General features: G+C 44.0%; 1 long non-coding RNA gene across 6 annotated transcripts in view, besides 1 other annotated feature; it reads right to left on the bottom strand.

Annotated features, from left to right (window-relative positions):
* Positions 1–2,939, bottom strand: part of LOC105375199 (uncharacterized) — a 191,528-nt gene extending 188,589 nt beyond the window's left edge. For 2 of the 6 annotated variants that reach the window (XR_927122.3, XR_927116.3), the window contains exon 1: positions 2,741–2,894. This is a non-coding gene — a long non-coding RNA (uncharacterized LOC105375199). Of the gene's footprint in view, positions 1–2,740 lie in introns of all 6 variants that reach the window. The other 4 variants (XR_927114.3, XR_927113.3, XR_927117.3 and 1 more) reach the window with 4 other exon arrangements.
* Positions 11,745–11,945: a silencer, noted in NCBI's record as "peak6446 fragment used in MPRA reporter construct". NCBI's record gives its function as "represses an SCP1 promoter by STARR-seq MPRAs in K562 erythroleukemia cells {active_cell/tissue: K562}" and the evidence as "EXISTENCE:reporter gene assay evidence [ECO:0000049][PMID:32103011]".

Raw genomic sequence — 12,618 nt, forward strand, 5'->3', positions numbered from 1 at the left:
GGAAGGGAGGCAGACCTTGTATTTGGCCTTAGTAGCACCTCGCCACCTTGCTCCTCACCCAGACTGCCAAGCACAGAGAAGCACATACCTCCTCTGTGAAGAGGGAAAATAACCAGCTGACTCAGATTCACAGAGAACTTAGCAACAAATAATGAGAGCTTTAGCATCTCATGCTTGCTAAATGGGCAGGACCAAGTAGATACTATACCACTTTTTTTGTTTTTACAGACAGGGGTCTTGCTATGTTGCCCAGGCTGGAGTGGAGTGGTGCAGTCATAGCTCACTGCAGCCTCGAATTCCTGGGCTCAAGCAATTCTTCTGCCTCAGCCTCTCAAGTAGCTGGGTCCACAGACATGTGCCACCACTTTGTCTGACTTGTACCTACTTTTTAAGGTTAACAATGATTATGAATTGGGAGGTAGCTCTCAGACTGACACAGGGACTGAGGCTGCTAATTAGAGAATGCCAAAGCAGTCTGTTAGAAACAATCAAGGCTTACTAGACACCCATGAGGTTTGCCTTTAACACACCAAGCTGCTGTGTGACTTCACAATGGAATCAAGGATGAATCAAGGGCTCAGCTTCACTCTACACCTGGCTGGACTGGCCCAGAGGTGCTGCTGAGAGAAGACAGAGGGACATAGAAGTGAGAGGTGGGAAGAACTAGAAGCCCAATAACCATGATGATTTTGTGCAGAAGCATAGAGCTGGGGAATGACCCAGAGGATGTGAGACCCTGTCTCTAAAAATAAAAATAAAATAAGGAGTGCAGAGGCACAATCATAGCTCACTGCAGCCTTGAACTCCTGGCCTCAAGCCATTCTCCCGCCTCAGCCTCATAAGTAGCTGGGACCACAGGTGCACACCACCGTGTCCAACTGATTTTTTTTTTAATTTTTTGAGAGATGAGGTCTCAAACTCCTGGGCTCAAGTGATCCTCCCAGCTTGGCCTCCCAAACTGCTGGGATTACAGGCGTGAGCTACAACGCTCAGCTAAAAAAAAATTTTTAAAACAAAAATCATCAGTATATTTCTAGAGCCACAAGTGTAAGGGGCCAGATTTTTCCAAGACAAAAATGAAAATGAATGGTGTCAGGAGGGGGGCAATAGTAGTTGCTTGGCCCGGCATTTAGAGCCCCAGATCACCATGGGAGGGGAGGAAAGTGGGGCTGGAGACACTGCGCTAGGCAGCTGGCATGGGGCTGGCAGAGAAGGCCGGATTCCTGCCCTGAAAAGCTGGGGGAGTGACTGCACAGAGCCCCTGGTGCGACAGGCCAGGCAGCTGGCTGCCACAGAAGCTTCTGAACCCCTGCAACTTTGAGGCACTTGGCACTCTCCCCACCCCACTTTCATCGAACTATTATCAAGAGGAAGGAAAAATGTATTTCAGAATCCCAAGAAAACTCCAGAATGAGCCAAATCTTCTTTGCTTGTGTAAAAAAGAAAAAGCAAAAGCAAGCTGAGTGATCAGAAAATGAAAAATTATAACCTGACATTAAGTTTGAAACTTTTGTGAGTGACCTGAAGAGAACAGGTTGGGAGATACGTGAGGGCCTCTAGAAAGGAGGCCACCAGGGGAAATCAAGTAACCTAGGGACACAGATATGAGCCTGGCCATCACCCCCTTCTTACCCGGGAGAGAGCAGCAAACCATGACCTGGGCCCATGAGCCTGGGAAGGGGGCCTATGATCCTCCTTATCCTCGAAATAGCTGTGTCTGTGGGGACAAGGACCACAGCTTTCCCTCACTGTCTCACTGTCTGCTCCCTCCCTGCCTCGGCTCCTGTCCACCTGCCCTGGAGCACCCCCTCCTTACCACAGCTTATCCAGCTTGCACTCAGCTCTGACACCTTATTGAAGTTACGGTCCTTTCCTCAGAGTGCACCAGGCTAAAATCACTGATCTGTCCTCTACGGCCACAATTTAATAATAACAGGTGACACTCTGCATTTGACCTTGTGCCAGGCACTGTTCTAAGTGCTTTTACATATCTCAGCTCCTTTAATCCTCATAACAACACTATGAGGGAAGTATTTGCCTTCACTTTATAGATGGGGAGCCTGGGATACAGGGAGGTGGAGTGACTTGCCTGAGGTCACACAACTGGGCTAGGATTTGAACCCTGGAAGGCTGGCATCAGCGTCTATAGTTTTAATCACTCCACTATCCTGACTCTCAATTCCAACCTGTCCTATAGTGTTAGATATTAGGATGTGACAGTTAATGTTTAGGCCCTGCTATTTTTTCTTTTTTTTTTTTTTTAAGACAGCGTCTCACTCTGTCACCCAGGCTGGAATGCAGTGGCGTGATCTTGGGTCACTGCAACTTCTGTCTCCCAGGTTCAAACGATTTTCCTGCCTCAGCCTCCCAAGTAGCTGGGATTATAGGCGCCCGCCATCACGTTAATTTTTGTATTTTTAGTAAAGACGGGGTTTCGCCATCTTGGCCACGCTGGTCTCGAACTCCTGACCTCATGTGATCCACCCATCTGGGCCTCCCAAAGTGCTGGGATTACAGGTGTGAGCCACCACGCCAGGCTGGGTCCTACTATTTTAGCCAGAGAAGCCTCCCACAAGCATACTCAACCCTGCCTAACTTCTGAGCCCATCAGAGCTAAGGCAGTTCATGGTTGGGATCCTGGTACCCTACCCAGCTCTTACCAGGTCCCTTCCCCAGGGGCTTGGCCATAACTCTGTATCTCCAGCTCCTGGCTGGGATCCTATCAAAGCAAACCTCTTACCTGGGACCACAGTGCTGCTCCTGGGCTGACTTTGAGCCCCATCTCTATGTGGAATCCTGGTTACTTCACAGCAGTCACAGGACTGGACCCTCTTAATGGTAAGTTGGCCCAGGATCCCCACTTTCCCTCACACTGGACTGCTCTCAACTCATCTTCTCCCCAGCTTCCTCCCACTCCCCACGAGCCCCTGCTTCCCTACAGAACCCACCTGAATTATGACAAGCTCAGATATCCTATGAGGTCAGGGCTCTCATCCAAGAGGTCAGCACTCTGCACAGCTAGTGGACTGGTCCTGGCTCTTTAAAAGCAAGCTGGTAAATAAAACACAATGAGAGTGGACGCTTCTTACTAAAGGCCACATGAAAGGAGCACTATGAAATCCCTGCCTTCAGAAAGTCAGTCAAGGGCCAGACGCGGTGACTCACGCCTGTAATCCCAGCACTTTGGGAGGCTGAGGCAGGCAGATCACGAGGTCAGGAATTCGAGACCAGCCTGGCCAACATGGTGAAACCCCATCTCTACTAAAAATACAATTTTGTAAAAATACAAAAATTAGTTGGGTGTGGTGGCGCGCATATAATCCCAGCTACTCACGAGGCTGAGGCTGGAGAATCGTTTGAACGTGGAAGGCGGAGGTTTCAATGAGCAGAGATTGTGCAATTGCATCCCAGCTTGGGGCACAGGGCGAGACTCCTTCTAAAAAATAAATAAATAAATAAGTAAAAGTCAGTCAAGGCCTCTGCTATATCACCTCTCCAATATCTCATTTGCTATCAGCTAACCACACTGTGCAAGCGGTGACAGAGTTGACAGCAGTGTTACTGAGGGAAACAGAAGGGGAATGGTCCACTAGGTGTGGTTTGGAGATTGTGTGGAGGAAAGCAATGAAGACAGAGAGTAACTATATCTAGTACTAGCGTCCCTGGGTGCACCCCAATGTGGCATTTCTTGAAAGTTTATCACAAGGGCTACCGGCAAGCACTGTAAGATTGAGCTGATACGTGAAATTGATATTTTCTTCTTTGCCTCGGGCATTCATTCCCAGGGATACAATGTCAATTCAGAGTTTCCAGGTGAAGCTTTGCCAGAAATATTGCCAATGCTGCCATCCTGGGCTTTTATAAGAACGCATTCAGCTTATGGCCACTAGTGAACACAGCCTTCAGAAGACTGTCAGATTGGTTCCAGACAGCTAAGGAACACATGCATATATTAATAAGTGGCATTATTTTAAGTAACCTGGACACTAAAATAGTATTCTCCAAAGCTTACTCCAATGGGTAGTAAAAAGTATGATAAAGAATGTTGCAGGTAGCGACTAGCTGGGGCTGGTGGCACATGGGTAAAGGAATTTACCAAGACAATTGTAAGTGAAAAAAAAAGGCAGAATTATAGGAGAAAGTATGAAAATACGTTGCAAGGGTGCAATGGGCAGATCAGCAACAGAGGAGCTGACTGCAAGGAGACAAAAGTTTGCTGGGGATTTTATAAGATGGTGCTTGTGCTAGAGAGGGCTATGTGCTGTACTGATAACACCAAGATTGCAGTGAGCTAACTTGCATTTTTCTATCAGCCGAGGATCTGGTGATAAGTCAGTGCAGGAAGATTGTGAGTTATTCGTGCAGGAGGGCTACGTGTCCTGGACCATGAAGAAAGGCAGCCTTAAAGCTTATCTTCTTTTTCTTTTTACTTTCCCCTGCTCCCACCAGCCTAACTCCCCTTCCCTTATTAGGACTCCACATAGAATAAAATGTTCGTAGTCAAGTGAACTTGGAAAATACAGAATCAAACAAAGCTAAATGGGCTTCTTTCCTGCAGAACTTCCCAGGGGAAGTGTCATTGGAGTCTGTGGCAAGAGGAGGCCATCAGAAGCAGCTTTTTCCTCACTTTTTGGTCACCAATCCCTCCTTCACTTCCATCCCCATTTTTTTCCCCTCAGAGAGTCCCATGAACTTGGTTGCCCAAAACAGAGCGGCTTTAACGTTAACTAAAAGCAAAATGGTCAGAGCACCTCACCTCTATGAAAAGCACACTATAGGAACCCTACTGCAGTAGGCAGTGACTGTCAATGGCAGCTAAAGCTGTTAGATGAAAAGTCTCACAGGGAACTTAATCATAAATGAATCAGGCTGATGCCAACTGAACCCACCCATCAGTCCTAACATCACAAAAAGAGAGGCAGCGAGGCAGGATGCCTCCTGATGGGATGCAATGGGAAGTTCCTAGCACCTCCTATGAGGTTTTCTTGCCAAAAAATCCCACCTGATTATGCCTCTAGAGCTCACTACTATCTCTAAGAAATACAGAGGGAAGTGAAATATATTCACCAATGTCATGGGAATGCATTCAACAAAATCCAAAATCAGGGACATCTAAGGAACAAATGGCCAAGTTTCTTCAACAAATAAATGACAAGAAAGAAAGAAAAAAAAAAAAAAGGCAGCCTGGCCAACATGGTGAAACCCTTTCTCTACCAAAAAATACAAAAATTAGCTGGGTGTGGTGGTGTGTGCCTGTAGTCCCAGCTACTCGGGAGGCTGAGACACAAGAATCACTTGAACCCAGGAGACGGAGGTTGCAGTGAGCCAAGATCGTGCCATTGCACTCCAGCCTAGGTGACAGTGAGATCTTGCCTCAAAACAAACAAACAAAAAGGACGGTAGGGTAAATAATCAGATTTAGTCTTTTTAGATTTATAAGGCCTATCAACCAAATGCAGTATTTGAATCTTGATTTAAACAAATCAACTATTTTTAAAAACACATTAATGAAACAACCAGGGAAATGTCATAACTGGCTGGATTTTTGATTGTATTAAGAAATTATAGTTAAACTTTTAGGTGTGATTATAGTATTGTGGCAATGCAAAAAGAAAAGATTTTATTTTTAGAGATACATACTGAAGCATTCATGGATGAAAAGATATGCCTGGGATTTGCCTCAAAATAATTCAGTGTAAGGAAGGGAAAGAAAATGGATGGCAGAATAGAAGAAACAAGAATAGCCTTGAATTCATAATTGCTTGGAGATGGCTGTTCTATCTAATTTTGTATTGAATTTGAAATTTTCCATAAGAAGAAGTTTTTTAAAAAAAATACATTGCTAAGCAGCAAAATGTAGAGAAGGACCTAAAGCCTTGGACATGGGGTCTTAATTTTCTAATAATCCAACCTTTTGTAGATGTAGGATGTGGAAATTTCACCTAGAGATTATAAGACCAGGATTTTTATATTTGCTTTCCATCTTTTCTGTCAATTTTAGAAAAGGCAATACCATTAGAAAACAACAATACCATTTTCATAAAGCAGAATAGAGAGCTCCTTTAGAGTCAAGGAAAAATAAAAATTAAAGATAGGCTTTTTTCAGTACTCACTATGTGTGACATATTGTGTTTTGTATGTATTAATTTCCTGTTCAAAATCCTCTAATAGGCTGGGGACAGAGGCTCACGCCTATAATCCCAGCATTTTGGGAGGCCCAGGCAGGAGGATCATTTGAGGTCAGGAATTTGAGACCAGCCTGGCCAACATGGTGAAACCCTGTCTCTACTAAAAATAAAAAATTAAATTAGCCAGTTGTGGTGGTACACATCTGTAGTCCCAGATACTCAAGAGACTGAGGCAGGAGAATCGCTTGAACCCAGAAGGTGCAGTTTGCAGTAAGCTGAGATCACGCCACTGCACTCCAGCCTGGGTGGCAGAGCAAGACTGCATCTCAATAAAAATAAATAAATAAAATCAAAACCCTCTAATAGCTTCCTGCCCTTCTCAGAGTGAAATACAAATTCTTCACCATAGCCTGTGATGTTCAATATGACTTGGTACATAATACAGCTTTTCCTTCCTCCTACATTGGCCTCTTTCCATTCCTCAAACATGGTTAGTACTCTTCTGCCTCAGGATCTTTGTACTTGCTATTCACACTGCTTGAAATACTCTTTCCCAACCACCAATGACTGTGTGGCTTTCTCCCTCTTTCAGGTCAGACTTTCCCTGCCCACCTCCTTATGTAACACAGGTAGATGATCCCATCTACATACCATCACTCTCCTCCCCTTCATTCTTTTGCTCCTGTTTTATTTTTCTTCTTAGCACTTAGTATCCACTGAAAAAAAAATCTGTTGTCTGTCTCTCCCAAGTGGATTGCAAGCTCCATTAGATCTGGGGCTTTGTTTTATTCATGGAACAATGTTCTCAGATCAATGCCTTAAATATAGCAGCTGCTCATGAGATATTTATTGAATTAATTAATTAACTTAGCACATACAAAAACCTATTTGGTAAACATGCCCATGTATCTTTGGAGGCTGGAATTATGTGTTTCTATGGTGGCCAAGATCCTCTAGATTAGCTGTGTCTAGTTAAACTGCGCTAAGATGTCTGCAGAGCAGCTGAATGCCTTGCAGTGGAAGAAGACCACACTCCTGGCCTATACCAACCTAAGGGAGGGACAACTGGCCTAGGGCCCTGGCTGAGGCTGGGATGACTGTTCTTTTCTTGGGAAAAGTGAGATTCATGAAGGTCTAAATAAAGGGTGGCAGTACCTGTAGAAAATAAATTGGGAAGGAATGGCATAGCTGGATGGAGTGTTTGGGGGCTGCAAGAATGCTGTGGAGTCAGACTCTACAGATGGTTTGAGGTTTCCAAATTAATTCATTTTCAGGGAGAGTTAGAAGAGACACAGATGGATAGAAATTCTGAGTGGCAAACATCCCACTGAGCAATCCACTGTAGGAGAAATGGGCCCTGAAAACTGTCTAATGCATTTTGAAGAATTTCACTCTGTTGAACTCAAATGAAATATACAGACAAATCTCTGAAATTAAAATGTTTTATCTGGGAAGGAAGAATTGCAATTTGGGCCATACACACAGACCAGGTGGTCTTCACTGTGTCTGAAGAACAAAGAGAAGGTCAGAAGTTTTCTTTAAACGGAGAAATATTACATATTGCTCTTTGAGAAAGTTCATTGGCACTAGTAAGGTTTTAGGAAGCTGGCAAGTTTTGCTTGGTAAGTGATGGCAATGGGTAAAATAATTCTTCAAGTCACAGGAGGTAGTTTCGGTAGCTAGTAGATAAAACTGGCTTTAGGCTACAGCAGGCAGTTTCAGCAGCAGGGCTTGCAGAGAATTACATTCTTGGAGCAATGTTATGTGCCCTGAGAGCCTTCTCCCAGTGGCCTCTCAACTGTTTTAGTTGGGTAGAACAAAGATGACCCAATTTATTGATCAACTTTCACAACTCCTACCTGAGATGACCTTTTGAATTACTCTTCAGGTTACTATTTGAAGGAATCTTGAGTTTTCTCCAAAGGAATTCAGATAGCTAAGACACTCCTTTGGAACTCAAGTCAGATAACTGACCATACTCAAAAGCATGTTGAACACGCTTGCCTCGTAAAAAGAAAGGCTATTGATGATGGGGGTGAGGTGCCAGCATAGATCTGGGAACTGCAATACTCTGAGGTGCTAGACTTTGTGTGTTATGCTTCAGCCTGAAAACTGCAACAAAACTGTGTTTCCATCTGTAATAGGAGAAAGTAGTGAGTTTATTTGCTTCAGAGACAGCATAGTTGAAACAATAAAACCATGAGAAGGGCCTTGTGTTTTACCTATCAATTGCTTACTTTCTAAAATGTTGTACAACAAATAACTTGTTAGTGAATTGAATGTTTAAATCAATTAGGTATCCTGCTGTTTAAAAGCTTCCTATGGGAAATACTTTGGTAAACAATCACTAATTTATACTTTCAAAAATGAAACACATTACTATACTTTCAGTTTTCACATAACAAAGCAACTCTTTATTTATTTATTTATTTTAGATGGAGTCTCGCTCCGTCACCCAGGCTGGAGTGCTGTGTTGTAATCTTGGCTCATTGCAACCTCCACCTCCCAAGTTCAAGCGATTCTTCTGCCTCAGACTTCCGAGTAGCTGGGATTACAGGCATCCGCCACCACGCCTGGCTAATTATTTGTATCTTTTGTAGAGACGGGGTTTCACCATGTTGCCCACACTGGTCTCGAACTCCTGACCTCAGGTGATCCACCCACCTCAGCCTCCCAAAGTGCTGGGATTACAGACGTGAGCCACTGCACCCGGCCTATATAAGCCAGTTTCTGATCTGTAAACCATCTTGCTGAATGTGTGTCAGTTATGCCAAATAATCGTCTCTTGGCTGGGAAAAGATTTTTCGGCAGGTCCTCAAAGACAAGGACAGATGGCATTCTATTGGGGGTACTCTTTGTTTTAACAAATATTGACACTTTTGTAGGAAACTGATCCAGATCCTGTTTCTTCCTAACTCATCTTGGCAATCTTGAAGGTTTGAAGAGGTGTAGTTCAATAGAATTGTGAAAATGCACTTACCATTGAATTATAAAAAGACATACATCTTGAAGAATAATGTTCTTGGTTAATTGCTGCTTGTAAAAGTCACAAAGTAATAAATAATACTGGGACACTGTGATCACAAAGCACTTTCAAGCGGAAATGAGACAGGAAAGAAAGGGAGAGAGGAGAGGACAGAAGAAAAATGCTTCCTAAAAATTCAAATTGCTATATGAAACTTTTTAAAATTTTATTTTTATTGTTTTTGCGACAAGATCGGCTCTGTCACCCAGGCGGGAGTGCAGTGGTGCAATCTCAGCTCACTGCAACCTCTGCCTCCAGGGCTTAAGTGATCCTGCCACCTCAGCCTTCTGAGTAGCTGGAACTACAGGTGCGCACCACCACACCCAGCTAATTTTTGTATTTTTTGTAGAGATGGGGTTTTGCCATATTTGCCCAGACTGGTCTTGAACTCCTGGACTCAAATGATCTGCCCACCTCAACCTCCCAAAGTGCTGGGATTACAAGCGTGCGCCACTACCCCCAGCCTGAAACTTTTTTTAAAAAAACCCTTTTCAACCTAGATGTTAGTAATAGCAAGGTTACGGTAGTGTGCCTAGAAAATCAGGGAATATTTACTGTAATTCAAAATTCGCATGTACTGTTTTTCTTGTTTGTTTGTTTTTGAGATGGAGTCTTGCCTTGTCGCCTAGGCTGGAGTGCAGTGATGCAATCTCGGCTCACTGCAATGTCCGCTTCCTGGGTTCAAGTGATTCTCCTGACTCAGCCTCCTGAGTAGCTGGGATTACAGGCGTGTGCCACCACCCCAGCTAATGTTTGTAGTTTTAGTAGAGATGGGGTTTCACCATGTTGGTCAGGCTGGTCTCGAACTCCTGACCTCAAGTGATCCGCCTGCCTCAACCTCCTAGAGTGCTGAGATTACAGGCACGACCCACCATGCCTGACCCAATAACTTCTGTTATAAAAGCCTTAGGTTTGTGTTTTGCTGCAGCCTTGTTGGGGGTGGGAGGAGAAGGATAAAATGAAGATGGCACAGATCAACCTTGAAGGTGAGACAGGGACAGAAGAAAGGATTCAAGTGGTTTTCTCAGACAAGAACCCACTGTCAGTGCCAAACCATCTCCTGTGTTCATGCTCCATCATGCTGGACAAGTGCTGGCCCAGAGTGGCAGTATCTCAATGCCCTGCTTCAGCAGTACTCCCTCCTGTACCTTTGCTCCAAGGCTACCTTGAACTCAGCGGCACCCAGAGTCCCCCAGTTTTTACTCAGGGAAAGAGTTCATTTTTTTCCCAGCTTTATTGAGGTGTAATTGACAAATTAAAATTCTATATATTGAAGGTATACAATATGATGTCTTGATATATGATATACATTGTGAGATGATTACCACATCAAATGAATAAACACATCCATCACCTAACTAACGCAATTAGTTACCATTTACGTGTGTGAGTGTAGTGAAGACACTTCAAATCTATTCTCAATGCAAATTTCAAGTAAACAATACAGTATTATTAACTATTATCATCATGCTGTACATTAGATTCTCAGAACTTACTCATCCTATAACAACGTTTGTACCCTTTAACCAACCTCCTAGCCCCTGGAAACCACCAATCCATTCTCTGCTTCTATGAGTTTGACTTTTTTTTTTTTAACGATTCAACACATTTAGCTGGGTGTGGTGGTTTATGCCTGTAGTCCTAGCTACTCAGGAAGCTGAGGCAGGAGGATCGTTTTGGGCCCAGGCATTTGAGGCTGCAGTAAGCTATGACTGCACCACTGTACTCCAGCCTGGGCAACAGAGTAAGACCCTGTCACTCAAAAAAATTTTTTTAATTAAAAAAATTTTAAAGATTCTACACATAAGTGAAATCATACAGTATCTGTCTTTCTGTGTTTGGCTTATTTCATTTGGCATAATGTCCTCCAGATTCATCCATGTTGTGCCAAATAACGGGAGTTCCTTCTTCTTTATGGCTGAAGAATATTCCAAGACTGGACATGGTGGCTCATGCCTGTAATCCTAGCACTTTGGGAAGCTGAGGCAGGAGGATCGCTTGAGCCCAGGATTGGAGACCAGCCTGGGCAATATGGCAAAACTTTGTCTCTACCAAAAATACAAAAATTAGCCAGGCATAGTGGTGTGCACCTATAGTCCCAGCTACTTGGGAGGCTGAGGTGGGCCCAGGAGGCAGAGGTTACTGTGAACAATGGAGATTGCTCCATTGCACTCCAGCCTGGGCGACAGAGCCAGAACCTGTCTCGAAAGAAAAAATATATGTATGTATAGATACACACACACACACACACACACACACACACACACATACATATATTCCATAGAAATAGTTCTTATGTAGGCTGGGCACAGTGGCTCACGCCTGTAATCCCAGCACTTTGGGAGGCCGAGGTGGGCGAACCACGAGGTCAGAAGTTTGAGACCAGCCTAGCTAACATGGTGAAACCCCATCTCTACCAAAAATACAAAAAAATTAGCCGGGCATGGTGGCACGCGCCTATAATCCCAGCTACTCGGGAGGCTGAGGCTGGAGAATCGCTTGAACCTGGGAGGCAGAGGTTGCAGTGAGCTGAGATAGCACCACTGCACTCCAGCCTGGGTGACAGAACAAGACTCCGTCTCAAAAAAAAAAAAAAAAAAAAAAAAAGGAAATAGTTCTTATGTAATAACAAGAACAAAATAAAAAGGGAAGGAAAATAAAAAACATATCTGTATTAGTTTCCCTGGAATGCCATAACAAATGACCACAAACTTGGTTGCTTAAGATAACAGAAATGGGCCGTGTGTGGTGGCCCACGCCTGTAATCCAAGCACTGTGGGACGCCAAGGCGGGTGGATCACCTGAGGTCAGGAGTTCCAGGCCAGCCTGGCCAACATGGTGAAATCCTGTCTCTATTAAAAATACAAAAATTAGCTGGGCATGGTGGCATGCACCTGTAATCCCAGCTACTTGGAAGGCTGAGACAGGAGAATTGCTTGAACCAGAGAAGTAGAGGTTGCAGTGGGCTGAGATAGTGCCACTGCACTCCAGCCTGGGCAACAGAGCAAGACTCTGTCTCAGAAAAAAAAAAAAAAAAAGACAACATAAATGTATTCTCTCATAGTTCCAGGGCCCAGAAGTCTGAAATTAAGGTGCCAGCAGGGCTGAAGTCTCTAAGGAAGGATCCTTGCTTGCCTCTTACAGTGTCTGGTGGCTCCTGGCATTCCTTGGCTTGGGACAGCATCACTCCAATCTCTGCCTCTGTCTTCATATCACCTGCTTCTTTGTGTCTTTGTGTGAGTTTTTCTGTCTCTTATAAGGCACTCTCATTAGATTTGTGACCCATACTAATCCAGTATGATTTTATCTCCATCCTTACCTTAGGGTTATGTCTGCAAAGACTCTATTTCCAAATAAGGTCATATTTTGAGGTTGAGGTGAATGTGAATTTGAGGATGGGAGGTATATTCAACCCACTACAATAGCATAGACACATTTGTTCAGCAAACTAAAATTATAACTAGC

Source organism: Homo sapiens, chromosome 7 (assembly GCF_000001405.40).
Source record: "Homo sapiens chromosome 7, GRCh38.p14 Primary Assembly".
Taxonomy (NCBI): Eukaryota; Metazoa; Chordata; class Mammalia; order Primates; family Hominidae; genus Homo; species Homo sapiens.